The sequence below is a fragment of the Homo sapiens genome, chromosome 2 (genome assembly GCF_000001405.40).
Source record: "Homo sapiens chromosome 2, GRCh38.p14 Primary Assembly".
Classification (NCBI taxonomy): domain Eukaryota; kingdom Metazoa; phylum Chordata; class Mammalia; order Primates; family Hominidae; genus Homo; species Homo sapiens.
The window spans coordinates 241,689,393-241,717,187 of record NC_000002.12 but is presented as its reverse complement, the minus strand read 5'-3'; the positions used below and the strand labels follow the sequence as shown (position 1 = coordinate 241,717,187).

Below are 27,795 nucleotides of genomic sequence, written 5' to 3'. Positions count from 1 at the left end.
CACAAGAATCACTTGAACCTGGGAGGCAGAGGTTGCCGTGAGCTGAGATCGCACCACTGCACTCCAGCCTGGGACACAGAGCAAGACTCTGTCTCAAAAAAAAAAAAAAATGAAGGTTACCAGAAATGGCAACTATATGAGGTAACTATATATGGGGTGACTTTTGTGGTGAGAACACTTAAAATCTACACATTTTTTTGAGACTATATTGTTATTAACTGTAGTCACCATGTTGTAAAACGGATCTTTTGAACTTATTCCTCCTATCTAAATGAAATTCTGTATCCAACGTCTCCCCTGACCACCCCAGCGCCTGACCACCATTCTACTCTCTACTTCTGTGAGTTCAACATCTTTACATTCCACATATATTTTAAGGCGTGTTTCACGTCATCAGTGGTTTGCATCTAAGGTAATAACGTGCTGGGAAGCTCAGATCACAGGCAAAGTGAAGGACAACAGCACAAAGGCAGGAAATGGAAGAACACTTGTGTGGAGCCACACGTTAAACATCAAATAGTGTAATATCTGAAGCTCACTGTGATAACTTAAGGAAACTGAGTGCACACACTAGAACAATCCTTAAAATACAGGGGCCGGGGCAGTGGCTCACGCCTGTAATCCTAGCACTTTGGGAGGCCGAGGTGGGTGGATCACTTGGGGTCAGGGGTTCGAGACCAGCCTGGCCAAAATGGTGAAAACCTGTCTCTACTAAAAATACAAAAACATTAGCCGGGTGTGGTGGCGCACACCTATAATCCCAGCTACTGCGGAGGCTGAGGCATGAGAATCGCTTGAACCTGGGAAGCAGAGGTTGTAGTGAGCCAAGATCATGCCATTGCAAATTGTACTCCAGCCTGGGCAACAGTGCAAGACTCCGTCTCAAAAAAAAAAAAAAAAAAAAAAGCATGGCTAATAAGACAAGAGTGGGGAAAAAAACGGAATACTAAAAAATACCTGATTAGTCCAAAAGAAGACAGCAAAGGAGCAGAAGGAACAAACAGAAAACTAATAGCAAGATGGTGAACCTAAATCCCACCATATCATTAATTATGTTAAATATGAACAGACCAAATATTGCAATGAAGGCCGGGTGCGGTGGCTCATGCCTGTAATCCCAGCACTTTACAGGGAGGGGAGGCCAAGGTGGGCAGATCATTTGAGGTCAGGAGTTCGAGACCAGCCTGCCCAGCATGGTGAAATCCTGTCTCTGTTAAAAATACAAAAATTAGCTGGCTTTCAAAGGATTTCAATTATGTAATGTTCTTTGACCACAACAGAAGTCAACTAAAAAATTAAAATTAGAAAGGTATCTGAAAAATCCCAAATTATTTGGAAATTGAGACACATACTTCTACATAAGTTATAGGGCAAAGAAGTAGCATGAAAAAAAAAATTCTAGGTCAGGTGCGGTGGCTCACGCCTGTAATCCCAGTATGTTGGGAGGCCAAGGCAGGCAGATCACCTGAGGTCAGGAGTTCAAGACCAGCCTGGCCAACATGGTGAAACCCTGTCTCTACTAAAAATACAAAAAAAAATTAGCCAGGCATGGTGATACGTGCCTGTAATCCCAGCTACCCAGGAGGCTGAGGCAAGAGAATTGCTTGAACCTGGGAGGTGGAGGTTGCAGTGAGCCAAGATCACACCACTGCACTCAAGCCTGGGCAACAGAGTGAGGCTCCGTCTCACCAAAAAAAAAAAAAAAAAAAAAAAAATTCTATTCCAGCACTTTGGGAGGCCAACGTGGGTGGATCACTTGAGCTCAGGAGTTTAAGACCACCCTGGGCAACATGGTGAAACTCCATCTCTACCAAAAATATAAAAAATTAGCCAGGCATGGTGGCATGCACTTGTGGTCCCAGCTACTTGGGAGGCCGAAGTGGGAGGATCTCTTGAGCCCAGGAGGTGGAGGCTGCAGTGAGCCAGGATCATGCCACTACACTCCAGCCTGGGTGACAGAGTGAGACCTCATCTCAAAAAACAAGAAAAACATTCTAAAATATTTTAAATAGGTAAACGAAATAAAAATTTAAAACAATATCAAAATTATATCAAAATCATAATATATCAAAATTTGTGGAGTGCAACAAAGATAATAATTAGAACAAGGAAGATATAAAAATCAATTATGCAAGCTACTTCCACCTTAAAAAGCTAGAATAGTATAGGCAAAGTAAACCTGAGTAGAAAACAGGAAATAGAGAGTAGAAACAAATGCAATAGCAAACAAAAAAATAGAGAAAACAATAAAAATAATGAAACTAAAAGCTAGTTCTCTAAAAAGATCAAGACGGCCAGACGCAGTGGCTCACGCCTGTAATCTCAACACACGGAGAGGTTGAGGCAGGCGGACTGCTTGAGCCCAGATGTTTGAGACCAGCCTGGGCAACATGATGAAACCCTGTCTCTACAAAAAATTAGCCAGGCATAGTGGCGCATGTCTGTGGTCCCAGCTACTCGGGAGCTGAGGTGGGAGAATCACTTGAGCCTGGGGACAGGGAGGTGGAGGCTGCAGTGAGCCATGTGCATGCCACTGCACTCCAGCCTAGGTGACACAGCTAGACCCTGCCCTCAGGGAAAAAAAAAAAAGGATCAAGACAAAATGAGAGAAACATAAATTACCAGTATCAGGACTGAAAGAGGGGTCATCATAACAGACACATCAGAACCATAATAATGCAAAATTATTAACAACCTGATGTCAAAAAAATCTGACAACTTACATGAAACAAATTTCTTGAAAGACACAGATTTTTTCCAAAACTGACTCGAGAAGAAATAGAAAGCCTGAATACTTCCATAACTTTAAAGGAACTGAATGCAACATCAAACTGTACACTTAGAATAACATTTTATTGTATGTAAATTATTCCTTAATAAAGTTAATTTAAAAGGTTAGAAAAACAACAGGACTAAACTATAATGTATAGTGTCTAGGAATGCACTATAAAACTATTAAAGAAACAAGGAAATAAACACTATAGAAATCTGGATCATGTTTATTTGGGGGCAGGAGGAGTTTATGATTTTAACAGGGCATATGGAAGGCCTTCCAGCAGCAGTTAATCACTGACTAGGTGCTACTTACAAAGATCTTCACTTTACGGAAATTAATTAAACCATGTTTGTTCTGTGCGGTTTTCTGTATCTGTGCACTACTTTACAATACGAGAATGTTGGGATTTTTTTTTTTTTTTTGAGACGGAGTTTTGCTCTGTCACCCAGGCTGGGGTGCAGTGGTGTGATCTTGACTCACTGCAACCTCCACTTCCCGGGTTCAAACAATCTCCCTGCGTCAGCCTCCCGAGTAGCTGGGATTACAGGCAGCTGCCAACTACTCAGCTAAGTATTTTGCATTTTTGGTAGAGACGGGGTTTCACCATATTGGTCAGGCTGGTCTTGAACTCCTGACCTCAGGTGATTAACCTGCCTTGGCCTCCCAAAGTGCTGCGATTACAGGCATGAGCCACCTCGCCCGGCCAAAAGGCTAAGCACTAGCTAAAAAACTGAAAATTGGGGCTGGGCACAGTGGCTCACGCCTGTAATCCCAGCACTTTGGGAGGCCAAGGCAGGTGGATCACGAGGTCAGGAGATCAAGACTATCCTGACTAACAAGGTGAAACCTCATCTCTACAAAAAATAAAAAAAAATTGGCTGGGTGTGGTGGCATGCACCTGTAGTCCCAGCTACTTGGGAGGCTCAGGCAGGAGAACTGCTTGAACCTGGGAGGCAGAGGTTGCAGTGAGCTGAGATCGCGCCACCACACTCCAGCCTGAGGGACAGAGCAAGACTCCATCTCAAAAAAAAAAAAAAAAAAAAACTGAAAATTGGGTCGGGTGTGATGGCTCATGCCTGTAATCCCAGCACTTTGGGAGGCCGAGGCAGGTGGATCACCTGAGGTCAGGAGTTCGAGACCAGCCTGGCTAACATGGTGAAATCCCATCTCTACTAAAAATACAAAAACTTAGCCGGGCATGGTGGTGCGCACTTGTAGTTGCAGCTATCCAGGAGGGTGAGGCAGGAGAATCGCTTGAACCTGGGAGGCAGAGGTTGCAGTGAGCCGAGATGGCGCCATTGCACTCCAGCTTGGGCAACAAGAGCGAAACCCCATCTCAAAAAAAAAAAAAAAGAAAATTGTCCCTTTTTTGTCAAGAAGAACTCTTTTTTTCTCTTTATTTTTTTTTTTTGAGACAGAGTCTCATGCTGTGGCCCAGGCTGGAATGTAGTGGTGCGATCGTGGCTCATGATCCTCCCAGCTCAGCTTTCCCTAGTAGCTGGGACTACAGCCCACACCACCACCCTCAGCTAATTTTTTCTATTTTTTGTAGAGATGGGGGACTCACTTGGTTGCCCAGACTGGTCTCAGATTCCTGGGCTCAAGTGATCCTCCCGCCTTGGCCTCCCAAAGTGCGGGAATTATAGGCATGAGCTACCGTGCCCAAAACTTACACTCTTTGACCCTCCCTCTGTGAGATCATCTCCACAGAGGCTTCGTGGCATTTCAGCATTTTCTCTTTAGTCTAAATGTCACTCCTCTGAGGTAATGCTACGATCTCTTTGGAGGGTATACAACACCTTTGGCAGGGAGGGTGTCAGTGGGAGAATGCTTTAAATAAAGTATCTCAAAAAACTTCAAGTTAAATGACATGTCTATTTAATAAATGTGGCCACATAATTAACAATGAATATATGCACACTATATGTTGACACATAAAATAACTGACAGATATACAGAAATCTAGCTACTTAAAGAGTGGTCTACATTGGCCTCTGTCAACAACACGTTGCTCACCATCCTCCTGTCCCTAGTGGGGCAGCACACACTGTGGCTAAGAGGACAGGCACTGGAGTCAGACTCCAGGTGCAGCCCAGCCGCACCACAGCAGCCCTAAAGCCTGGGCAGGTCCCTGCGACACTGAAAATGCCCCTGACAACGGCACCCCCTCAAAGGCTGCGGTGAGGACAGGCTGACGACAGGCGCGCAGCGTAAGAATCAGAATACCACCCGGCACACGGGGTGCACTTCACTCGGGTCAGCTTCCATCAGTGTTCCTACATCCGGGATACAGGCTATGGGTATTCGTTCTTTTGGGAAAAAGAGGGGAAAGCCTCTTACCCTCCTTTGTGCTTCTTTTTCTTTGGTGTGTCTTCCTCTGATGTCCTCCTGCCTCGGCCCCGGGACCCTCTTTTTTCTTTCTGACCCCGGCCTTCTGAAAAATAATCAAGATGCAAATTATTTTTATAGAATTCTCTAAAGCAAGGCAAGTTTTGTGTTTTGTTTTTAAAAAGGGGTCTCGCTCTGTCTCCCAGGCTGGCTGGAGTGCAGCGGAGCAATCATAGCTCACCGCAGCCTTGACCTCCCGGGCTCAAGCAATCCACCCACCTCAGCCTCCCGAGTAGCTGGGACCACAGGTGTGCACCACCACACCTGGCTAATTTTTAAATTTTTTGTTGAGATGAGGTCTCGCTATGTTGCCCAGGTTGGTCTCAAACTCCTAGCCTCAAGTGATCCTCCTGCCTCAGCCTCCCAAAGTGCTGGGGTTACAGGCGTAAGCCACCACACCCAGCCTGCAAGACAAGGTTTACCCAAATATGATACTTACCCTAGTGATCATACTTTAATGATTTACCGTGACAAAACTCTTCAAAACTCCATAGTTAACAGTAATAAAATAAAGAAAAAAAATTAACAGACTTGCTTTTTAACCCTCGCCCTCCGGAGCTTTCAAAATCACTGCCCTCCATCTTGTCCTTCAGATCTGCTTCAAAGCGCGCCAGGTCTGCATCAAGCCTTCGAATGTGTTTATCCACCTACAAAAGGATACCCAAAGTCTTATTTTAAAGTAAAACCAAAACACCTCAGAATCACGAATGTACAAAAGTATCCACCAGGAAACACCTTCTTGCCCTTTAATTGAGTCTCCAATGAACAAACCTCTGCTAAAACAAGGCCCACTATTTCAAAGTCCATGCAAGGGTCTTGTGCTTTTTCTGCATATTTTGACATTGCAATGGAATAAATCCCATTTAGGGAAAAGACATGAGTGTGGGCAATAATGAGAAGCAGAGTTGTGAAATGCAGTGAACAAGGCCTGGGATATCTGACGCTGAACCCTACTTTAAAATATGGCTACCTGGAGGCCAGGTGCAGCGGCTCACACCTGTAATCCCAGCACTTTGGGAGGTCGAGGCAGTCTGATCACCTGAGGTCAGGAGTTCAAAACCAGCCTGACCAACATGGTAAAATCCCATCTCTAAAATAAATACAAAAATTAGGGCAGGCGCGGTGGCTCACGCCTGTAGTCCCAGCACTCTGGGAGACCGAGGCAGGTGGATCATTTGAGGTCAGGAATTCAAGACCAGCCTGGCCAACATGGCAAAACCCCATCTCTATTAAAAATACAGGCCAGGCACGGTGGCTCATACCTGTAATCCCAGCACTTTGGGAGGCTGAGGCAGGTCAATCACCTGAGGTCGGGAGTTCAGGACCAGCCTGACCAACATGGAGCAACCCCATCTCTACCAAAAATACAAAATTAGCCGGGCTTGGTGGCGCATGCCTGTAATCCCAGCTACTCAGGAGGCTGAAGCCGGAGAATCGCTTGAACCCAGGAGGCAGAGGTTGCAGTGAGCCAAGATCGTGGCATTGCACTCCAGCCTGAGCAACAAGAGCGAAGCTCTGTCTCAAAAAAAAAAACCAAAAACCAAAAACAAAAATTAGCCTGTTGGTAGTGGTGCACACCTGTAATCCCAGCTACTTAGGAGGCTGAGGCAGGAGAATCGCTTGAGCCTGGGAAGTGGAGGTTGCACTGAACTGCAGCCATGCCACTGCACCCTAGTCTGGGCGACACAGTGAGGCCCTGTCTCAAAAACTAAATAAATAATACAAAAATAAAAAAATAAAACTACAAAAATTAGCCAGGCTTCGTGGTGGGTGACTGTAATCCTAGCTACTCAGGAGGCTGAGGCAGGAGAATTGCTTGAACCTGCGAGGCACAGGTTGCAGTGAGCCGAGATAGCACCATTGCACTCCAGCCTGGGCAACAAGAGCAAAAGTCCATCTCAAAAATAATAATAATAATAAAGTATGGCTACTGCATGCCTGTAATCTCAGCTACTCGGGAGACTGAGGCAGGAGAATCGCTTAAACCCAGGAGGTGGAGGTTGCAGTGAGCCGTGATCACACCACTGCACTCCAGCCTGGGCGACAGAGCAAGACTCTGTCTCAAAAATAAATAAATAAATAAAATAAATAAATAAAATAAAATATGGCCACCTGGAGGTCGGGCACGGTGGCTCATGCCTGTAATCTCAGTATTTTGGGAGGCTGAGGCGAGTGGATCACTTGAAGTCAGGAGTTCGAGACCAGCATGGCCAACAGGGTGAAACCCCGTCTCTTCTAAAAATATAAAAATTAGCTGGGTGTGGTGCTGCATGCCTGTAATCACAGCTACTAGGGAGGCTAAGGCACAAGAATCACTTGAGCCTAGGAGGCGGAGGTTGCACTGAGCTGAAATCACACCACTGTACTCCACCGTGGACGACAAAGTGAGACTGTCTCAAAAAAAACCCAAATGGTTCCTCCGAGCAGATACACAAACAAAAAGGGCCCAGAAAAAAAAAAAAAAAAAACAGGGATGGTCCTACATGAAGTGTATTCCGTCTGCACTTCCTCCAGCAGCGTCAGCTACCAAAGCCAGCCTTCCACTTGGCTATGCCCATTTCCGGGCAGTTTTTACATTTTGTTGCATGAGAGGCAGGAGTAGAGGTCAGAGGAAGAGCCATGGCCCCCGCCCCGCCCTCACCATCTCGTAGGTCTGCATGGCCAGCTGCACTTTGTCGTCACTGTATTCCTTGCACTTGCTGTAGGCGTTCTGGATCTTCTGCAGGCGCTCCACGCGCTGGTCTGGAGACAGCGTCTTCACCGTGGAGATGTACTCTGCAGCCAGGATGTCAATCTCTGCTTTCTTATCTGATGGAGAAATGGGGGAAAAGCTAGCCCTGCACAAGACACCATGATGTGCTCACCAGACTGGCAACAACTAAAGTCAGCCAACGCCAAGTTGTGGCAAAGATGTAGGCTGACATGAACTCACGCTGTGCTGGTGGGAGCGCAAGTGGGCAGAACCGTTCTGCACAAACAGTCTGGGATCGTGTGAATGTGCAGACTTTACGGCAACGTGCCCAGGACAGTCCCAGCTCTGAATGTTACACAGCAAGTGGTCACAGTGCCTTCTTCGACTCTCAAACATCCTGTATGAATAACTTGTAGCCACCTTTCCTATGACCTGGCATACTACTCTTTTTTCCCTTTTCTTTTTTTCCGGTAGAGCAGTCAAGAAAGAACACACTACTCTTAAATACCCTAAACAAACCTTATGTCACCTAAAGAAATCCACACGGGAAACATTCATAAGAGCAGAAAACAGAAAACAACCCCAATGTCCAATCCTCAGTAAAATGGAGAAATAAGCTGTGGTCCCTTCAGACAACAGAGTGCTACTCAGCAACAAAAAGAGCAAACTACAGCCACACACAGCAACACGGATGATTCCCAGAGAAGGTGACACGGAGCAAAAAGAGCAAGAAACAAAAGAAAACATACTGGATGATTCCATTAATATGAAGAGCAGAAACAGACACAACTCTTAACCCTTCAGTTTAGAGGGGTAAGAAAACTAGGCCAGGCGTGGTGGCTCACGCCTGTAATCCCAGCACTTTTGGAGGCCGAGGCGGGCAGATCACGAGGTCAGGAGATCGAGACCATCCTGGCTAACTTGATGAAACCCCGTCTCTACTAAAAATACAAAAAATTAGCCGGGCGTGGTGGCGGGTGCCTATAGTCCCAGCTACTCGGGAGGCTGAGGCAGGAGAATGGCGTGAACCCAGGAGGCGGGGCTTGAAGAAAGCCAAGATAGCGCCACTGCAGTCCGGCCTGGGCGAAAGAGTGAGACTCCATCTCAAAAAAAAAAAACAAAAGAAAACTGTTGAAGGCCATGCACGGCGGCTCACGCCTGTGATCCCAGCACTTTGGGAGGCCAAGGCAGGAGGATCACGAGGTTAAGAGATGGAAACCATCCTGGCCAATGTGGTGAAACCCCGTCTCTTCTAAAAATACAACAATTAGCTGGGCATGGTGTTACGTGCCTATGGTCCCAGCTACTCAGGAGGCTGAGGCAGGAGAATCACTTGCACCCAGGAGGCAGAGGTTGCAGTGAGCCGAGACCGTGCCACTGCACTCCAGCCTGATGGTAAAGCGAGACTCCGTCTCAGAAAAAAAAAAGAAAACTACTGTTAAAGGTGGAAGGTGACTGTCACCAAACTCAGGATGGTCACCCCTTGGTTGGGGAGGGGTGTCATGACTAGGAGGGTCACAAAGGCCTTCAGGTGCCAAAGGGCTTGATTTCTCCATCTCGGTAGCAGACAACAGAGAGGTTCACCTGGTAATATTTGTTAAGCAATCTATAATTGTTGCACATTCATTTCCTGAATATATGTTACATTTCACAATAAAATAACTCTCTGTATTCCCTAGTCAAGATGCTGTACCTAAGGAAAAAAACACAGCTATCTCAGTCTTGCAAAACATGTGCCCAGGCCGGGTGTGGTACTCACGTCTGTAATCCCAGCACTTTGGGAGGCCAAGGCGGGTGGATGAACCTGAGGTCAGGAGTTCAAGACCAGCCTGACCAACATGGAGAAACCCCGTCTCTACTTAAAATACAAAAAATTAGCAGGGTGTGGTGGCGCATGCCTGTAATCCCAGCTACTCGGGAGGCTGAGGCAGGAGAATTGCTTGAACCCGGGAGGCGGAGGTTGCGGTGAGCTGAGATCGTGCCATTGCACTCCAGCCTGGACAACAAGAGCGAAACTCCATCTCAAAACAAAAAAAACAAACCTGTGCCCAGCATAATGAATAAAAAATCTCAGGCCAGGCACAGTGGCTCACACCTGTAATACCAGCACTTTGGGAGGCCAAGGCGGGCAGATCACCTGAGGTTGAGAGTTTGAGACCAACCTGATCAACATGGAGAAACCCCATCTCTATTAAAAATACAAAATTAGCTGGGCATGATGGTGCATGCCTGTAATCCCAGCTACTCGGGAGGCTGAGGCAGGAGAATCACTTGAACCTGGGAGGCAGAGGTTGTGTTGAGCCAAGATCGCGCCATCGCACGCCAGCCTGGGCAACAAGAGTGAAACTCCATCTCAAAAAAAAAAAAAAAAAAAATTGCCACACCAAAACACATTATCATGAAATTTAAAACTTCAGAGATAAAGGAAACATCTCAAAAGCTTCTGAATAGGAATAACAAAAAAAAAATAGATCACACATATAAAGGACCAAGAATCCAAACGGCACCAGATTTTCTGCAGCAACGTGGAAGCTAGGAGACAAGGCAGCAATGTCGCCAACTTCCTGAGTGAAAACAATTGTCAACCTAGGATTCTATACCCAACCAAACTATCAGCTGAGTATGAGGCTAGAACAAACACATTTTCAGACATGCAATGTTACAAGAAAATCTACCTTCCTTTTTTTCTTTTTTTTTTTTTTTTTTGAGATGGAGTTTCGCTCTTGTTGCCCAGGGTGGAGTGCAATGGTGCGATCTCCAGGTGCAACCTCCGCCTCCAGGTTCAAGTGATTCTCCTGCCTCAGCCTCCCAATTAGCTGGGATTATAGGCGTGCGCCACCACACCCGGCTAATTTTGTATTTTTAGTAGAGACGGGGTTTCTCCATGTCGATCAGGCTGGTCTCGAACTCCTGACCTCAGGTGATCTGCCCACCTCAGCCTCCCAAAGTGCTGGGATTACAGGCATGAGCCACCGTGCCTGGCCAAGAAAATCTACCTTCCTATGTGCCTTTTTTTCAGGAACCTACCAAAGGAAAGGCTCTATCAAAACAGGAGAGCAAGGGCAAAAAGAAGACATTTAAGATTCAGGGAAGAGGGTCCCACACTGAAGAGGGGTGAAAGGAGATCCCAGGAAAACCTCAGGGCAACAAGTGTGCAGTTGGCATGGAAACAATCAGGACTGTGGCCTCCAGGACAGAGGGCTCTGCGGAAAGAAAGCACACACAGAACTGTCAGGGTAGACAGCCTGACAGACCACAAGGAAAAGCCCAGCTGGGGAGACAAGGGTCGAATGCAGAAAACAAAGCCAACAAACAGGGCCATGAGTAACTCTAAGAAATACACAAAGTTATTCCAAAGAGGTCATATAAGCACAGCAGGTGGCATGGCTCAGTGTTAAAGTACCTACACAGCTGCCCAATGGAAGTCCCATCACTGGTCTCACCACAAATTCTAACAACCTACAGCCAGGAGATGGGGGAGCCAGGTGAGGGCATGTGAGGGTGTGGGGGCCACTGGAGAAGTACAGCTGCCTGTGCCATATACGTCTGAACAACGTCTAAAACTGACGAGAGATAAAATAAGAAACAGCAACAAAAACATGTTGTTTAGAAACAGGGAGTTTAAGGGCCGGGCGCGGTGGCTCATGCCTGTAATCCCAGCACTTTGGGAGGCCTAGGCAGGCGGATCATGAGGTCAGTAGATCAAGACCATCCTGGCTAACATGGTGAACATGGTGAAACCCTGTCTCTACTAAAAATACAAAAAATTAGCTGGGTGTGGTGGCATGTGACTGTAGTCCCAGCTACTCGGGAGGCTGAGGCAGGAGAATCACTTGAACCCGGGAGGTGGAGGTTGCAGTGAGCCAAGATCGTGCCACTGCACTCTAGCCTGGGCAACAGAGTGAGACTCTGTCTCAAAAAAAAAAAAAAAAAAAAAGAAAAAAACAGAGTTAGGGCCAGGCGAGGTGGCTCACGCTTGTAATCCCAGCACTTTGGGAGGCTGAGGCGGGCAGATCATGAGGTGAGGAGATCAAGACCATCCTGGCTAACACGGTGAAACCCCGTCTCTACTAAAAATACAAAAAAAAAATTAGCCAGGCGTGGTGGCGGGCACCTGTAGTCCCAGCTACTCAGGAGGCTGAGGCAAGAGAATGGTGTGAACCCAGGAGGCAGAGCTTGCAGTGAGCTGAGATCACGTCACTGCACTCCGGACTGGGCGACAAAGCAAGACTCCGTCTCAAAAAAAAAGAAACGGAGTTAAATATCAAACGGCCAAAAAGTACTACCAAACTTTTAAAACAATGCACGCACTACACACTTTGAAAATTGAAAATATTTAAAAGAAAAAATTGGCAATAAATATTTTGATTGGAAAGGGTGATGGTTATAAAAACATGATATAAAGATGTGTAAGAACCCAAGAAACAATGTGGCTTCAAAAGTATCAACACCTACTGCAAGACACTGAGTGATACCCACGGCCCAGGGCTAGGCCAATGCCCCACTAACCTGGGTCCCCTCAAAACCCTCTGCCCCCAGCCTTCAGGAGCTGCTGGCTCCCACCTGTCAGAACTCAGTTCTGGTTGTATGGAGAGGTCTGAACCCACCTTCCGTCCTCTGGTCCAGCTCTCGCATCAGCTGGAAGTTCCTCTGAAGTTCGCAGGGAAGGTTCTCGATACCTGAAACGCAAAAACACAGAAGCCATGTACCTCTCAGCAGCAAGACAAAAATTCACCTCCAAAGGTTTTCTGTCTTTTTTTTTTGAGATGGAGTTTCACTCTTGTTGCCCAGGCTGGAGTGCAGTGGTGCGATCTTGGCTCACTGCAACCTACACCTCCCAGGTTCAAGTGATTCTCACGCCTCCGCCTCCTGAGTAGCTGGGATTACAGGCACATGCCACCATGCCCGGCTAGTTTTTGTATTTTTAGTTGAGACGGGGTTTCACAAGGTTGGCCAGGCTTGTCTCGAACTCCTGACCTCAGGTGATCCGCCCACCTCGGCCTCTCAAAGTGCTGGGATTACAGGTGTGAGCCACCAGGACTGGCCAAAAGTTTTATACTTCAAGTCTACAAGCCCACTCTGTATTCTGTCTCTGTCAGGGTTTGCGGAGCGGAAGGACTGTGATCTCATTTTTAGATGCAGGTACCAAACAGTGCTGACAAGAGGCTGTGTGCACACTTCGGAAGCTGTCAGAAGTCAAAGAAGGGAGAGGGAAACTTGGAAACCAACAGCACAGGCAGGGGAGGCCAACTGACCCCACCCTCTAGGCTGCCCCCCCTCAGTGAGCAGCATCTTCCAAGGCTCAAGCCAAAATCCCCTGGGTCCTCCTTGATCTTCCCCTACTTTACCCAGAAATCCAGTGCATTGAGCAGTGTAGCCACGCTGCCCACGCGACTTTATGCAAGGATAGAAATGTTTCCTCTCTCGGATGGGCGTGGTGGCTCATACCTGTAATCCCAGCACTTTGGGAGATCAAGACAGGCAAATCAGTTGAGGTCAGGAGTTCAAGACCAGCCTGGCCAACATGGTGAAACCCTGTCTCTACTAAAAATACAAAAATTATCCAGGCGTGGTGGTGCACAGCTACAGTCCCAGCTACTCGAGAGGCTAGGGCATGAGAATTGCTTGAACCTGGGAGGTGGAGGTTGCAGTGTGCTGAGATCATACCCTCCAACCTGGGCAACAGGGTGAGACTCCATTTCAAAAAAAATCAAAAAAAGAAAAAGAAAAGAAATGTTCTCTCTGAGCTGCCCAAGACAGTGGTGGCCATAGGGAGCTACTGAGCACTGGAAATGGGACTAACGCCATTCAATTTTTAATTTTACTTAAATAGTCCCTGTGGCTAGCGCAACCATTCCCCACAGTCTGCCAGGAGGACCCCCGTGCTGCTTTCGCGTCTGCTTTGTTACCCCCTAGACCAGGCCAACCTCCGCCCCCTGCACAGCTGACACAGGCTCCTAAGGGGGGCTGCCTCCTCCAGTCTTGGCCACCCTCCCATCTGCTGTTCACAGTTACCAGGCAATCATTTTAAACCTAACTCTATCTTATGCATCTGATGCTTCCAGCCCCAGTGTTTTCCCAGCTCCCCTAGAGGACAGAGGCACAGCCTCCCGGCTGGCACAGCCTCCCAGACACACACAAAGTCAACCCTCCTTGGGAGGCCAGCCCACTGGCTGGGCACCAGGATAGAGAAGGCCTCCCCTCCAGCGTGCTCCCCAGCTTGACTCTTCTACCCAGGGAACCCCCCACTACTCAGACCCCCAAGAGACAGCGGAGCACATGGGCAGAATCGGGCGTCCCTCTAGGGCAGCGGTCTCCAGCTCCAGGCCACGGCTCACTCGCCACTGTCTCAGCCCCTGGGCGGGTGCCAGGCCGAAGACCATGAGGATCCCCAGTGCAGCGCCCCCACAAGGGCCCTCCAGAGCCACCCGGCACAACCCCAAACACCGCGACCCCAAAGCTGTGCCCATCCCGGGCCGACGTCAGGGGTCCCGCGTGGGGTCTGCCCCTCTACGAGCGGGAGACCCTGAGCAGGCTGCTCGGCAGCGCTGGACCTTCCCTGGTGTGTAAAGTGAGGGAAAGCACCGTCCGCTCAGCCGCTGGGGGCGCCGACCTGCTGCCACCTGGAAACAGCACAGCCCGCCCACCAGGGCCGACTCGGCACCGCCCTCCCCGCCTCCGCGCCGCAGTCCCCAGTGCCGGGGAGAGACGCCCCGCGGCCCGCACGCCCTCCCCAGCCGCGGTCACACAAGAGGCCGGCGCACACGGGCGCACAGCCAGGCGGAGGCCCAGACCCCGGAGCCCCCAAGGCCCGGAGCCCCGCAGCGGGCGCCAGCTCCTCCTGCAGACGGGACAGGGACGGGCGGGACCTGGCGGGGCCGGGGCCGGAGCTGGGGGCGGAGATGAGGCGGGGCCTGGGTAGGGGCGGGACCTAATATGTGGGCGGGGTCGAGGCCGCAAGCCCCGCCCAGCATCGCCAGGCCCCGCCCCGCCGTGACGCACCTGGAATTGGCGCGACCCAGCCGGCGGGACCCCCCGCGCCCGCCCCCCGCGCCCTCCCCTCCCTTGCGGCCCTGCCCCGCCCCGTCCGCGCGCCCCCCGTCGCGCCCGGCCGCGCCCGCCGCCCTCCCGAGCCCACGGGGTCTGCATGCGGTGCCCGGCGCGCGGGGGGCTGCGGCACGGAGGACTCCGCGTGGGCGGCGGGCGCGGGGCCCGTGGGGCGCGCTTACTGTCCAGATAGTGCTCCAAGTACATGGCGGTCGCCATCTTCGTCCGCGGCCGCGCTCGGGGTCTGCGCGGGCGGGCGGTGCCGCGGGAGGCGGGGGCGGGGCGGTGCCAGCGCGCTCACTATTCATGAGTCGCGCGCGCTGATTGGTCGCGCCCGGGGGCGGGGTCGGACACGCCTTTCAGCTTCCGGCGGGCGGCGGGCTGCGGGGCCCGGGCGGAGGTTGTGGCAGCGGCGTCGGGCAGCGAGCAGGACCCAGGGCCGCAGCGGATCGGAGGCCGAGGAGGAGCAGGGGTTCCCGGCCCCACCGCCCGGCGTGCGGCCCAGGGCACCCAGGTGGGCGTCTCCCCTCCGCACCTGTCAGCGACCCCTGGGCCACCAAACGCAAACACGTGGTCCCGGGGACCTCACGCCCGTCCTGACGGCGCCCACGCGACCCCTGCTCCCGGCCGGGTCCCGGACAGGCCGCCACGAGGCCCTCCCTTCCCGAAGGCTCCTTGGGACCTGTCTGGCTCAGCGCCTTTCCCCCGGACCCCGAGCCCCCGGGGCCTCAGCCCGGCCTGAGCCGAGGGCCGGCACCGCGTGGCCCGGGCGAGCTGCCCCTCCCTCAGGGCCTGGGCCCTGGCGCCCTTCCCCCGCCAACGCCGCCCCTTCCCTCCGAGGAAAGCGGCCGCCCCGCCCAGCACCAGTGAGGGCACTGGCTCCTTTGCTGCCACCTCTCGAGGCAGGCAGGACCCGCACCATCTGGATGCCTTGGCCGAAAAGGCACGTGCGGCAGTATGATATAGTTAATAAGATGGCGTGCAAAGGTGTGCCGTAAGATGCATGCAAAAATACTGGAGAAGGCCGGCGCGCTGGCGCACGCCTGTAATCCCATCACTTTGGGAGGCCGAGGCGGGCGGATCACTTGAGGGCAGGAATTTGAGACCAGCCTGGCCAACGTGTTGAAACCCCGACTCTACTAAAAATACAAAAAAAAAAAAAAATTAGCCAAGCGTGGTGGCGCACGCCTGTAGTCCCAGCTACTCCGGAGGCTGAGCCCGGGAGGCGGAGGTTGTAGTGAGCTGAGATCGCGTCTGCACTCCAGCCTGGGCGACAGAGCAAGACTCTGTCTTCAAAAAAAAAAAAGAAAATTTTAAGAAAAAAAAAATACTGGAGAAACATAATTAAAATATGTTTCAGACTCGGCACGGTGGCTCACGCCTGTAATCCCAACACTTTGGGAGGCCGAGGCGGGCGGATCACTTGAGGGCAGGAATTTGAGACCAGCCTGGCCAACGTGGCGAAATCATGTCTCTACTAAAAATACAAAAATTACCCGGGCGTGGTGGCGGGCGCCTGTACTCCCAGCTACTCGGAGACTGAGGCAGGAAAATTACTTGAACTTGGGAGAGGGAGGTTGCAGTGAGAAGAGATCATGTAACTGCACTGCAGCTTGGGTGACAAGAGCAAGACTCCGTCTCAAAATAATAATAATACAAAAACTAGCCGGGCATGGTGGCAAGTACCTGTAATCCCAGATACTCGGGAGGCTGAAACAGGAGAATCGCTTGAGCTTGGGAGGCGGAGGTTGCAGTGAGCCGAGATTGCACCACTGCACTCCAGCCTGGCCAGCAGAGCAAGATTCCATCTCAAAAATAAAATAAAATAGGGCAGGCGCGGTGGCTCACTCCTGTAATTCCAGCACTTTGGGAGGCCAAGGCGGGAGGATCACGAGGTCAGGAGATTGAGACCATCCTGCCTAACACGGTGAAACCCCATCTCTACTAAAACTACAAAAAAATTAGCTGGGCATGGTGGCGGGCGCCTGTAATCCCAGCTACTCGGGCGGCCGAGGCAGGAGAATGGCGTGAACCCGGGAGGCTGAGCTTGCGGTGAGCCGAGATCGTGCCATTGCACTCCAGCCTGGGCGACAGAGCAACACTCCGTCCCAAAAAAAAAAAAAAAAAAAAAAAACTTAGCCGGGCATAATGGCTGGTGCCTGTAATCCCAGCTACCCAGGAGGCTGAGGAAGGAGAATCACTTGAACCTGGTACGTGGAGGTTGCAGTGAGCCGAGATCGTGCCACTGCACTCCAGCCTGGGTGACAGAGCGAGACTCCATCTTAAAATATAAAATAAAATAATTTAAAGTGTTTAAATATTAGTCTTTGGGGTGATTCTTCTCTGCCTCCAAACTGTGTAGCATCATCATGCAGTGCTCACCAGTACCCATGTCACTCCTCTTCCCACTTCACCACTGGACGCCCCCAAGCTGGGGATCAAACTCATCTCTGGCAGGTCTTTCATGGGTGAGGTGTGTCACTTCCCAGTCCTGTCTCCACTCCCTGTGATCTCAAGAGGACGTCCCAAAGGCTCCCCGAGCCCCAAGAACTGATGACCACTAGATGTAACGTGTAGGCCCCAGAACCCCCCGCCCCACCCCCAGCCACATCCTTGACTTCCGAGATGCAACGTTGCTGGTCACACAAATTAGCATAAGCTGATCAAAGGAGCAGTACTTTCATTATTTAAAATGCATTTTTAAAGATATTAAGCCAGCTGCTGTGACTCAAATCCGTATGATCACCATGAGAGGCTGAGGCGGGAGGATGGCTTGAGCCCAGGAGGTCTAGGCTGCAGTGAGCCATGATCAAACCACTGTACTCTTGCCTGGGTGACGGAGACCCCCACCTAAAAAAACAAGCTATGTCCCCCTTGGTGGACTCTTCCCTAAACCCCAGTCAAATATTGAAAACCAGAAACAATGTTTTTGCCACTATTATGTTCATTATAAAAATTCAGGCCAGGCATGGTGGCTCACGCCTGTAATCCCAGCACTTTGGAAGGATGAGGTGGGTGGATCACCTGAGGTCAGGAGTTTGAGACCAGCCTGACCAACATGGAGAAACCCAGTCTCTACTAAAAATACAAAATTAGCCAGGCGTGGTGGGCATGGGCCTGCAATCTCAGCTGCTCGGGAGCCTGAGGCAGGAGAATCATTTGAACCTAGGAGGCAGAGGATGCAGTCAGCTGAGGTCATGCCATTGCACTCCAGCCTGGGCTACAAGAGCAAACCCCTCCCCCCCCAAAAAAAAATTCAGCTGGGGTGGTGGCTCACGCCTGTAATCCCAGCACTTTGGGAGGCCAAGGTGGGTGGATCACCTGAGGTCGGGAGTTCGAGACCAGCCTGACCAATACAGAGAAACCCCATCTCTATTAAAAATACAAAAGTAGCTGGTTGTGGTGGTAGCTGCCTGTAATCCCAGCTACTTGGGAAGGTGAGGCAGGAGAATCACTTGAACCCAGGAGGCAGAGGCTGCGGTGAGCCAAAATCATGCCATTGCATTCCAGCCTGGGCAACAAGAGCAAGACTCTGTCTCAAAAACAAAAAAATTAAACAATACAGGAACTTTTAGCTTCCCACCTCCCCAGGGGGCAGGACTGTGATTGCCTTGTTCAGCTTTCAGTCCTAATGTTAGCAGTTTGAGTGCATCCTTACTGGCCTCATTTAATTATAGACTATTTTTCCATCAGTTTTAGGTTTATTGAAAAGTTGAAGAGAAAGTAGACTTCTCATATACTCCTCCACACACACACACACACACACACACACACACACACACACACACTCCTCTATTATAAACATTTTGCATTAATGTGATACATTTGTTACAATCGATGAAACAATATTGATACTTTTTTTTTTTTTGAGACCTCAAATTAGCTGGGCTCGGCTCACTGCAAGCTCCACCTCCCGGATCCACGCCATTCTCCCGCCTCAGCCTCCTGAGTAGCTGGAACTACAGGTGCCCGCCACCATGCCCGGCTAATTTTTTGTATTTTCAGTAGAGACGGGGGTTTCACCGTGTTAGCCAGGATGGTCTTGATCACCTGACCTCATGATCCTCCTGCCTTGGCCTCCCAAAGTGCTGGGATTACAGGCGTGAGCCACCACGGCGGGCCCGATACATTATTATTAACCAAAGTCCATCATTATTTCCATAAGGGTTCATTCTGCCTTGTGCTTTTTTTTTTTTTTTTTTGAGATGGAGCCTGGCTTCTTCGCCCAGGATGGAGTGCAATGGTGCAATCTTGGCTTACTACAACCTCCGCCTTCTGGGTTCCAGCCATTCTCCTGCCTCAGCCTCCCAAGTAGCTGGGATTACAGGCAGGCACCACCACGCCTGGCTAAGTTTTGTATTTTAAGCAGAGATGGGGTTTCACCCTGTTGGCCAGGCTGGTTTCAAACTCCTAAACTTAGGTGATCCACTGGCATCAGCCTTCCAAAGTGTTGGGATTACGGGCGTGAGCCACCACGCCCAGTGCCTTGTGCATTCTTATAGGTTTTGACAAATGTATAATGTCAGCTACCCCCCATTACATGTCATACAGCATAGTTTTGTGGCCCTAAAAATCCCCTGCGCTTCCCGATTCATCCCTCTCCCCCTCCCGAGGCCCCTGGCAACCACTGATCATTTTACTGTTTCCAGTTTGCTTTTTCCAGAATGTCATGTAATTGGAATCATACAGTATGAGCCTTTTCAGAATGGCTTCTTTCACTCAGCAATATGCATTTAAGGTCCCAGCGTGCCTTTCCGTGGCTTAATAGCTAGTTCATGTTTAATTTGAAAAATATTCCAACGTCCGGATGTTCCACAGTTTACCCATGTACTTTTTTTTTTTTTTTTTTTGAGACAGAGTCTCGCTCTGTCACCCAGGCTGGAGTGCAGTGGCAGGATCTCGGCTCACTGCAAGCTCCGCCTCCCGGGTTCATGCCATTCTCCTGCCTCAGCCTCCCGAGTAGCTGGGACTACAGGCGCCCGACACCACGCCTGTCTAATTCTTTGTATTTTTAGTACACATGGGGTTTCACCGTGTTAGCCAGGATGGTCTTGATCTCCTGGCCTTGTGTTCCGCCTGCCCCGGCCTCCCAAAGTGCTAGGATTACAGGCATGAGCCACAGCCCCTGGCCACCCATGTACTTATTAAAGAGCATCTTGGTTACTTCCAATTTTTGATTATTATATTATTATTATTATTTTGAAACGGAGTCTGTCTCTCTGTCACCCAAGCTGGAGTGCCGTGGCGCAATCTCGGCTCACTGCAACCTCCGCCTCCTGGGTTAAAGCGATTCTCCTGCCTCTTCCTCCCAAGCAGCTGGGATTACAGGTGCCTGCCACCATGCCCAGCTAATTTTTGTATTTTTAGTAGAGACAAGGTTTCGCCACATTGGCCAGGATGGTCTCTATCTCTTGACCTTGTGATCTGCCCGCCTCGGCCTCCCAAAGTGCTGGGATGAGAGGCATAAGCCACCACACCCAGCCTTGGTTATTATTATTTTTAGAGTCAGGGTCTTGCTCTGTCACCCAGGCTGAAGTGCAGTGGCACAATCATGGCTCATGCAGCCTCGACCTCCTGGGTTCAAAGGACCTGTTGCCTCAGCCCTCAATATCTGGGACTACAAGCACACACCATGACACCTGGCTAATTTTTAATTTTTTTTCTGTAGAGTTGGGGTATCTATGTTGCCCAGGCTGGTCTCCAACTCCTGGGTTCAAGCACTCCTCCAGCCTCAGCCTCCCCAAGTGCTGGGATTACAGACATGAGCCACCGCACCCAGCACTTTTGCCCATTTTTTCATGGGGTTGTTCTTTTACTGACTCACCATTTTTCTACTACTTTTCATTCTGTTTTGTTTTTTGTTTTGGGGGGTTTTTGTTTTTGTTTTTGTTTTTGAGATGGAGTCTTGCACTGTCACCCCGGCTGGAGTGCAGTGGCGAGATCCCGGCTTGTTGCAACCTCCACCTCCCAGGTTCAAGCGATTCTCCGGCCTTGGCCTCCCGAGTAGCTAGGATTACAGGCACCCACCACCACACCCGGCTAATTTTTTGTATTTTTAGTAGACACGGGGTTTCACTATGTTGGCCAGGCTGGTCTCGAACTCCTCACCTCGTGATCTGCCCGCCTCGGCCTTCCAAAGTGGTGGGATTACAGGCATGAGACACCGAGCCCAGCCTGTTTTGTTTTTTGAGACAGGATCTCACATTGTCGCCCAGGCTGGAGGACAGTGGTGTGATCACAGTTCACTGCAGCTTGACCTCCTGGGCTCAAGCAATCTTCTTGCCTTGGCCTCCGCAAATGCTGGGACTATAGGTATAAGCTGCCGCACCCAGCCTGTCTTACATTTTTAGCTGAATACTCCTTGTGAGCATCTGGCCCTGCTTTACTCACCCTGCTTTGTCCCACTGACTAGATCTATTTCATTGTAGTGGTGTATCAGACTTTAACAAACTCTTTACAGATGTTCCCAATATTTCAGTATCATAAATCATGCTGTAATGAACATGGCTATACATAGAACTGCAAGTATCTGTTCCCATTATGTATCACCGCCTTACAGACCCCTGAAAACTTAGTGGTTTAAAAGAACCATTTTTTTTTAGACGGAATCTTGCTCTGTCACCCAGGCTGGAGTGTGGTGGCGCGATCTCAGCTCACTGCAACCTCCACCTCCTGGGTTCAAGCAATTCTGCTGCCTCAGCCTCCTGAGTAGGTGGGACTACAGGCGCGTGCCATCATGCCTAGCTAATTTTTGTATTTTTAGTAGAGATGGGCTTTCACCAAATTGGCCAAGCTGGTCTTGAACTCCTGACCTTGTGATCCACCCACCTTGGCCTCCCAAAGTGCTGGGATTACAGGCGTGAGCCACCGTGCCGCCAAGAACTATTTTGTTATATGTGACAGCGTGCCAGGAATTTCAGCAGCTCCACCAGGTGACTGTCCTGTCCAGTGTGACAGAAAAGAGATCACTGGGGTGGCTGGAAGGCTGATGTCAGCTGGCACCGTGGGCCAGAACACCCACATGTGGCCTCTCCAGCACAGCAGTCTCAGTAGCAGCGGGTCTCACAGAGTCCCAGGAGGCTGGGGTGGAAGCCACCGGCTCTTGTGACCTCACTTTGGTAGCCCTAAGACATCACCTCACTACATTCTATTGGTCAAGCAAGTCACTGGGGCCGACCCAGGTTGAATGGGAGAAACATTATACCCACAACTAACAGTGGGAGGAGGAGCAAGAATACCACATTGTCTTACCAGTCCTTTTTTTTTGAGACGGAGTCTTGCTCTGTCGCAAGGCTGGAGTGCGGTGGCGCAATCTCGGCTCACTGCAATCTCCTCCTCCTGGGTTCAAGCGATTCTCCTGCCTCAGCCTCCCAAGTAGCTGGGACTACAGGCGCCCGCCACCAAGCCCTACCAATTTTTTTTGTATTTTTAGTAGAGACCGGTTTTCACTATGTTGGCCAGGCTGGTCTCGAACTCCTGACCTCATCATCCACTCGCCTCGGCCTCCCAAAGTGCTAGAATTACAGTGTGAGCCACCATGCCTGGCCGAGTATTGCACATTTTAAGTGCTGATACTTATAAATGAATTGCCCAAAGGGAAGGTTATACCAACCAGCATGGCCACTGGTTGCTTTCCATACTTCTGCCAACCCTAGATTTCATCAGGCTTTTTAAATGTTTAACCTTCGCTAACTCATTAGAGGGGGGAAAAAGCCAACCTTAAATATTTTAATCACATTTATTTCATTTTAAGTGAAGCTAAACTTTTTTTTAACATATTTGTTGCCTATTTGTGGTTCTGTCCTTTTCTCCTTTATATCTTTTACTGATTCTTTTTTTTTTGAGATGGAGTCTCGCTCTGTCGCCCAGGCTGGAGTGCAGTGGTGTGATCTTGGCTCACTGCAAGCTCTGCCTCCCAGGTTCATGCCATTCTCCTGCCTCAGCCTCCCGAAAAGCTGGGACTACAGGCGCCCGCCACCACGCCGGGCTAATTTTTTGTATTTTTAGTAGAGATGGGGTTTCACCATGTTAGCCAGGATGGTCTCGATCTGCTGACCTTGTGATCCGCCCGCCTCGGTCTCCCAAAGTGCTGGGATTACAGGCGTGAGCCACCGCGCCTGGCCATCTTTTAGTGATTCTCTGTGTAGAAACTGGTCTTCATGTATTTTGTCTAAAAAAAAAAAATCTTTATTATTAAGGGTTATTGGCCCTCACATATCATATATTAAATATAACTCTCCCAGAGATCAATTTGTCTTCTTTCATTCACACACACAAAACTGGCAAACCCTTTTGAAGGGACCCTGTTTTAGAAACTGCCAGAGAGGGCCAGGCGCGGTGGCTCATGCCTGTAATCCCAGCAATTTAGGAGGCCAAGGCGGGTGGATCACCTGAGGTCAGGAGTTCGAGACCAGCCTGGCCAACATGGTGAAACACCCCGTCTCTACTAAAAATACAAAATTAGCCAGGCATGGTGGTGGGTGCCTGTAATCCCAGCTACTCGGGAGGCTGAGGCAGGAGAATTGCTTGAACCTGGGAGGTGGAGGTTGCAGTTAGCCGAGACTGCGCCATTGCACTCCAGCCTGGGCGACAGAGCAAGACTCAGTCTCAAAAAAAAAAAAAAAAAAAAAAAGAGTTGTATTTCTCAGTGCAACAACTCTAATGTGAACAGGCGGGACAGCACACTCCATGGGGCCTCTCAGGGACCCACATTCCTTCTTGTATGGTGTCTGTCCACAAAGGGCCTTGCCATCGTCTGCCTGGTCAAGGCTGGGTTGCAACAAGGGGTATGTCGGAGAGCGTAGGGGATGCAAGCCTGCTGTGTGAAGGTCCACATGCCACATCTACCTGCAAGGAGGGTTGGGAGTTTAGCAGAGCAGTGAGTACCAGCACAACTCGAAGCTCCTGGGAGCAGGTGAGGACATGGACTGAACTGTGTCCCTCAAAATTCCTGTGTTGAAGCCCTGACCCCCAACGTGACTGTTTGTAGATAGGGCCCTTAAGGAGCTTTGCTTTTTTTTTTTTTTTTTTTTGAGACAGTCTCGCCCTGTCGCCCAGGCTGGAGTGCAATAGGGCGATCTCAGCTGCAACCTCCGCCTCCTGGGTTCAAGCAATTCTCCTGCCTCAGCCTCCTGAGTAGCTGGGATTACAGGCGCCCGTCACCACACCCAGCTAATTTGTGTATATTTAGTAGAGACGGGGTTTCACCACGTTGGCCAGGCTGGTCTCGAGCTCCTGATCTCGTGATCTGCCCGCCTCTGCCTCCCAAAGTGCTGAGATTACAGGCGTGAGCCAACGCACCTGGCCAAGGAGCTAATTAAGGTTAAATGAAGTCCTAATGTGATAGGACCAACAGTTTTCATGTGTCTGCTGCACAGTTAACAGACCCATGATGCTCAGACAGCAGGGTTTGCAGCAGAGAAAGAGTTTAACAAGGCCCAGGTGAGGAGGTGAAAGGAGACGTCTCCTCAAATACATCTCCCTCAGGAGTTCTGAGCTAAGGTTTTTAAGGGGATCATGGAAGGTGAGGGGCTGGAAAATGGGGGTCGCTGACTGGCCAGGGTAAGGAGGATGATTCACTAGAATGTGGAAACTGCATTCCTTGCTGAGTCAGCTCCTGTGGGGTCCTTCAGAGCAGCTGGCATCAGTACTTTCACTGGTATGCAGGGCCTGAAAGAATCTCAGGCTGGGCGTGGTGGCTCATGCCTGCAATCCCAGGGCTTCAGGAGGCCGAGGCAGGATGACCGCTTGGGCCCACCAGTTCAAGACCAGCCTGGGCAACAGGGCAAGACCCCGTCAGTATTTAAAAAAAAAAAAAAGCCAGATGTGTGTGCCTGTAGTTCCAGATACTTCAGATGCTGAGGCAGGAGGATCACTCGAGACCAGAACCTCAAGGCTGCAGTGAGCTACGATTGTGCCACTGCACTTCAGCCTGAACAAGAGTGAGACCCTGTCTCTAAAAAGAAAAAAAAATTAAAATAAAAAAAAAATCTCAAAGGGAAAAGTTAAGGTTTCATAATGTTCAAGTTGTTATCTCTGGAGCAGTTAAGGGTAACTGTAATCTTATAACAAGAGTCTACCTGATTCTGAGGCACGAGGCGCCAGCTCAGAGGGGCTCACCACATGACTGGTGCTGCGTGTGCTGCAAGCTCGGTTATTCCATTTCCCCCTCCCCTCTTCCTTGATTAATTTTGTGTTTTTAGTGACGGTTTTCTTTTTTTATATTTTTTTAAAAATTGAGACAAGGTCTCACTCTGTCACCTGGGCTGGAGTGCAGTGGCGCAACCATGGCTCACTGCAGCCTCAACCTCCTAGGCTCAAGTGATCCTCCCACCTCAGCTTCCCAAGTAGCTGGGACTATAGGCACGCCCACCTATTTATTTTGTAGAGATAAATAAATCTACAAATAAGTCTATGTTGCCCAGGCTGGTCTCAAACTCCTGAGCTCAAGCAATCTACCTGCCTCCCAAAGTGCTGGGATTGTAGGTGTGAGCCACCATGCCTGGCCAGGGATGGTTTCAATAAGGGTGCAACCCTAATCCGATAGGGCTGGTACCCTCATGAGAAAAGGAAGAGGTACCAGAGCATTCTCTTTGCTATGTGCAACTCTAAAAGACAGCCCGTACCAGGCAGCAATCTGTCGGGCACCTTAATCTTGGACTTCCAGCCAATAAATGCCTATTGCTTCAGTTCCCCAGTCTAAGGTAGTCTGTCGTGACAGCCCCAGCCCACTGACGGTGAGAGACTTTATTCCCTGCGTGGTGGAAGTTGCAGCACACTAAGAAACAGGGACTAGCAAAAGAGCTTTCCTGCTCCTTCAGTTTTTTTGTTTTTGTTTTTTTTTTTTGAGACAGTGTCTCACTCTGTCACCCAGGCTGCAGTGCAGTGGCATGATCTCAGCTCACTGCAACCTCCACCTCCCAGGTTCAAGTGATTCTCCTGTCTCAACCTCCCAAGTAGCTGGGATTACAGGCATGTGCCACCACACCCAGCTAATTTTTGTATTTTTAGTAGAGACGGTGTTTCACCATGTTGTCTAGGCTGGTCTTGAACTCCTGACCTCAAATGATTCACCCACCTCGGCCTCCCAAAGTGCTGGGATTACAGGTGTCAGCCACAACACCCAGGTCCTTTTTTTTAAATGGAAAATCTCAAACACAAGAAAGCAGATAACCTGGCTGGGTGCGCTGGCTCACGCCTGTAATCCCAGCGCTTTGGGAGGCTGAGGCAGGTGGACTCACCTGAGGTCAGGAGTTCAAGACCAGCCTGGCCAACATGGTGAAATCCTGTCTCTACTAAAAATACAAAAAATTAGCCGGGTGTTGTGGCGGGCGCCTGTAAATCCCAGCTACTTGGGAGGCTGAGGCAGGAGAATCGTCTGAACCTAGGAGGTGGATGTTGCAGCGAGCTGAGATCACACCACTGGACTCCAGCCTGGGTAACAGACCGAGGCTGTCTGGGAAAAAAAGAAAAAAAAAAAAAGCAAGCAGAGAACCTAATGAACCCACGAACCCATGTGTTCACCTGCATCTTTCTGCAATTATCAGCCTGTGGCCAACTCCATTTCACCTGTATCTCTGACCACACAGACCCAGCATCCCACCATTTCCCCTATAAAGTGGATGTACTCACCTATCAGGCCTCCAGAGTCTCGTGGAGTGACTCTTGCTCCCATTGCTCCTGGACAGACAGTGCTGGAAATCAGGCCTGAGGCTGTCAGTGGCAGTACGAAGGACACTGGATGCTCAGCCACGCAGACCCTCCTATGCCCACGCCAGGGCTGAGGTCAGCAGGCTGGGGTGTGGCAGTCATCCTTTGATCACGCAGGAACACCAAGAGAACTGCTAGGATGTGGACCAACCTGATGTCACTGAGTCACGGGAGCAGCTCCTGCCTGCCTAACACTGGACTTCATGTAATGTCAGATGATTAAATATCTTAATGCTGTGAGCCACAGGAGGCTGGCTGGTATTCTGCTACCTGTGCTAAAAGGTATCCTAAGAGAGGTACACCATGCTGGAATAGGCAAAAGCAAACCTGTTTCTTGTATCTTAGTAACACACTTCAAGGTGCTTATGTGCTTGAGCAATTCCTGCAGTCAAATGGGCCCTCCACCCCCCAGTACACAAGGCCCAGCCAGCCAGATTCCCTCCATCTTCACCCTCCTCCCCCGTCCCAGGGGAGCCAGGAAAGCCATGCATCCACCAAGGCGGATGCGCTGTGTCCCTCTGCATCAGCCTGCTGAGTCCTCCTGGACCTGATGAGAGACAGTACCGCAGCCTTGCCCAGCCCCGGGAAGGTGGTCTTCCTTCCTACAATCCCCTTCATCCTCTGGAAGGTGGTCTTCCTTCCTACAATCCCCTTCATCCTCTGGAAGGTGGTCTTCCTTACTACAATCCCCTTCATCCTCTGGAAGGTGGTCTTCCTTACTACAATCCCCTTCATCCTCTGGAAGGCAACAAGATGGAATTTTATAAGGAGACATCAATCAGAAAAAAGGATATTACTTTTATTACTTATCTATGTAAGGGAATAGTAAGTACTATTCTTAGTACTTGTAAGCGTTCGCTAGGTTGTGCTGTGGTAACAAAGGATCCCGAAGTCTCAGTGACTCGAAATCACGATGGTTTACTTCTTGCTGGTGCTGCCCATCAGCTACAACGGCTGTACTTCATGGGCCTTTGTTACAGGATCTGGGGTGAAAAACCAGCCCTCACTGTGCACATGCTGTGTTCATGCTGGGGGCAGAAGGGGAGGGACCAAACCACAAAACACCCTTTAAAGCTTCTGCCTGAACAGGGCACATGACAGCAGACTACTTTACATTACCATTTGGAAGTCTCACCACTAAGCTTGACGTAAAGGAAGAAAGGGTAGGCCAGGTGCAGTGGTT

At 50.1% G+C, this 27,795-nt stretch overlaps 1 protein-coding gene across 21 annotated transcripts in view, besides 7 other annotated features; it reads right to left on the bottom strand.

Annotated features, from left to right (window-relative positions):
• ING5 (inhibitor of growth family member 5) overlaps positions 1 to 27,795 on the bottom strand; it is a 42,459-nt gene that overhangs the window by 12,291 nt on the left and 2,373 nt on the right. For 9 of the 21 annotated variants that reach the window (XR_007082549.1, XR_007082550.1, XR_007082546.1 and 6 more), the window contains exons 1-5: positions 15,086 to 15,149; positions 12,464 to 12,535; positions 7,806 to 7,972; positions 5,700 to 5,811; positions 5,117 to 5,210 (exon numbers count right to left, since the gene is read on the bottom strand). Coding sequence is in view for 11 of the 21 variants with exons in the window: in XM_047446013.1 (XP_047301969.1) it covers positions 5,117 to 5,210; positions 5,700 to 5,811; positions 7,806 to 7,972; positions 12,464 to 12,535; positions 15,086 to 15,122 (482 nt within the window). In the remaining 10 variants the exon portion in view is untranslated. Of the gene's footprint in view, positions 1 to 5,116; positions 5,211 to 5,699; positions 5,812 to 7,805; positions 7,973 to 12,463; positions 12,536 to 13,304; positions 14,721 to 15,085; positions 15,150 to 21,731; positions 22,210 to 26,534; positions 27,351 to 27,795 lie in introns of those variants that run through there. The other 12 variants (XR_007082544.1, XR_007082545.1, XR_007082543.1 and 9 more) reach the window with 3 other exon arrangements.
• Positions 14,031 to 14,660: an enhancer, noted in NCBI's record as "H3K4me1 hESC enhancer chr2:242641943-242642572 (GRCh37/hg19 assembly coordinates)". NCBI's record gives its function as "activates a minimal SCP1, AML or CMV promoter by ChIP-STARR-seq in primed H9 embryonic stem cells {active_cell/tissue: H9 hESC(primed)}" and the evidence as "EXISTENCE:reporter gene assay evidence [ECO:0000049][PMID:30033119]".
• Positions 14,031 to 14,945: a biological region, named in NCBI's record as "H3K4me1 hESC enhancer GRCh37_chr2:242641943-242642572".
• Positions 14,386 to 14,945: a silencer, noted in NCBI's record as "silent region_12556". NCBI's record gives its function as "represses an Ori minimal core promoter by ATAC-STARR-seq in GM12878 lymphoblastoid cells {active_cell/tissue: GM12878}" and the evidence as "EXISTENCE:reporter gene assay evidence [ECO:0000049][PMID:35858748]".
• Positions 14,899 to 15,731: an enhancer, noted in NCBI's record as "NANOG-H3K27ac-H3K4me1 hESC enhancer chr2:242640872-242641704 (GRCh37/hg19 assembly coordinates)". NCBI's record gives its function as "activates a minimal SCP1, AML or CMV promoter by ChIP-STARR-seq in naive H9 embryonic stem cells {active_cell/tissue: H9 hESC(naive)}" and the evidence as "EXISTENCE:reporter gene assay evidence [ECO:0000049][PMID:30033119]".
• Positions 14,899 to 15,855: a biological region, named in NCBI's record as "NANOG-H3K27ac-H3K4me1 hESC enhancer GRCh37_chr2:242640872-242641704".
• Positions 15,036 to 15,855: a silencer, noted in NCBI's record as "silent region_12555". NCBI's record gives its function as "represses an Ori minimal core promoter by ATAC-STARR-seq in GM12878 lymphoblastoid cells {active_cell/tissue: GM12878}" and the evidence as "EXISTENCE:reporter gene assay evidence [ECO:0000049][PMID:35858748]".
• Positions 15,130 to 15,293: a silencer, noted in NCBI's record as "fragment chr2:242641310-242641473 (GRCh37/hg19 assembly coordinates)". NCBI's record gives its function as "represses an EF-1alpha promoter that drives an FKBP-Casp9 reporter gene in an ReSE screen in K562 erythroleukemia cells {active_cell/tissue: K562}" and the evidence as "EXISTENCE:reporter gene assay evidence [ECO:0000049][PMID:32094911]".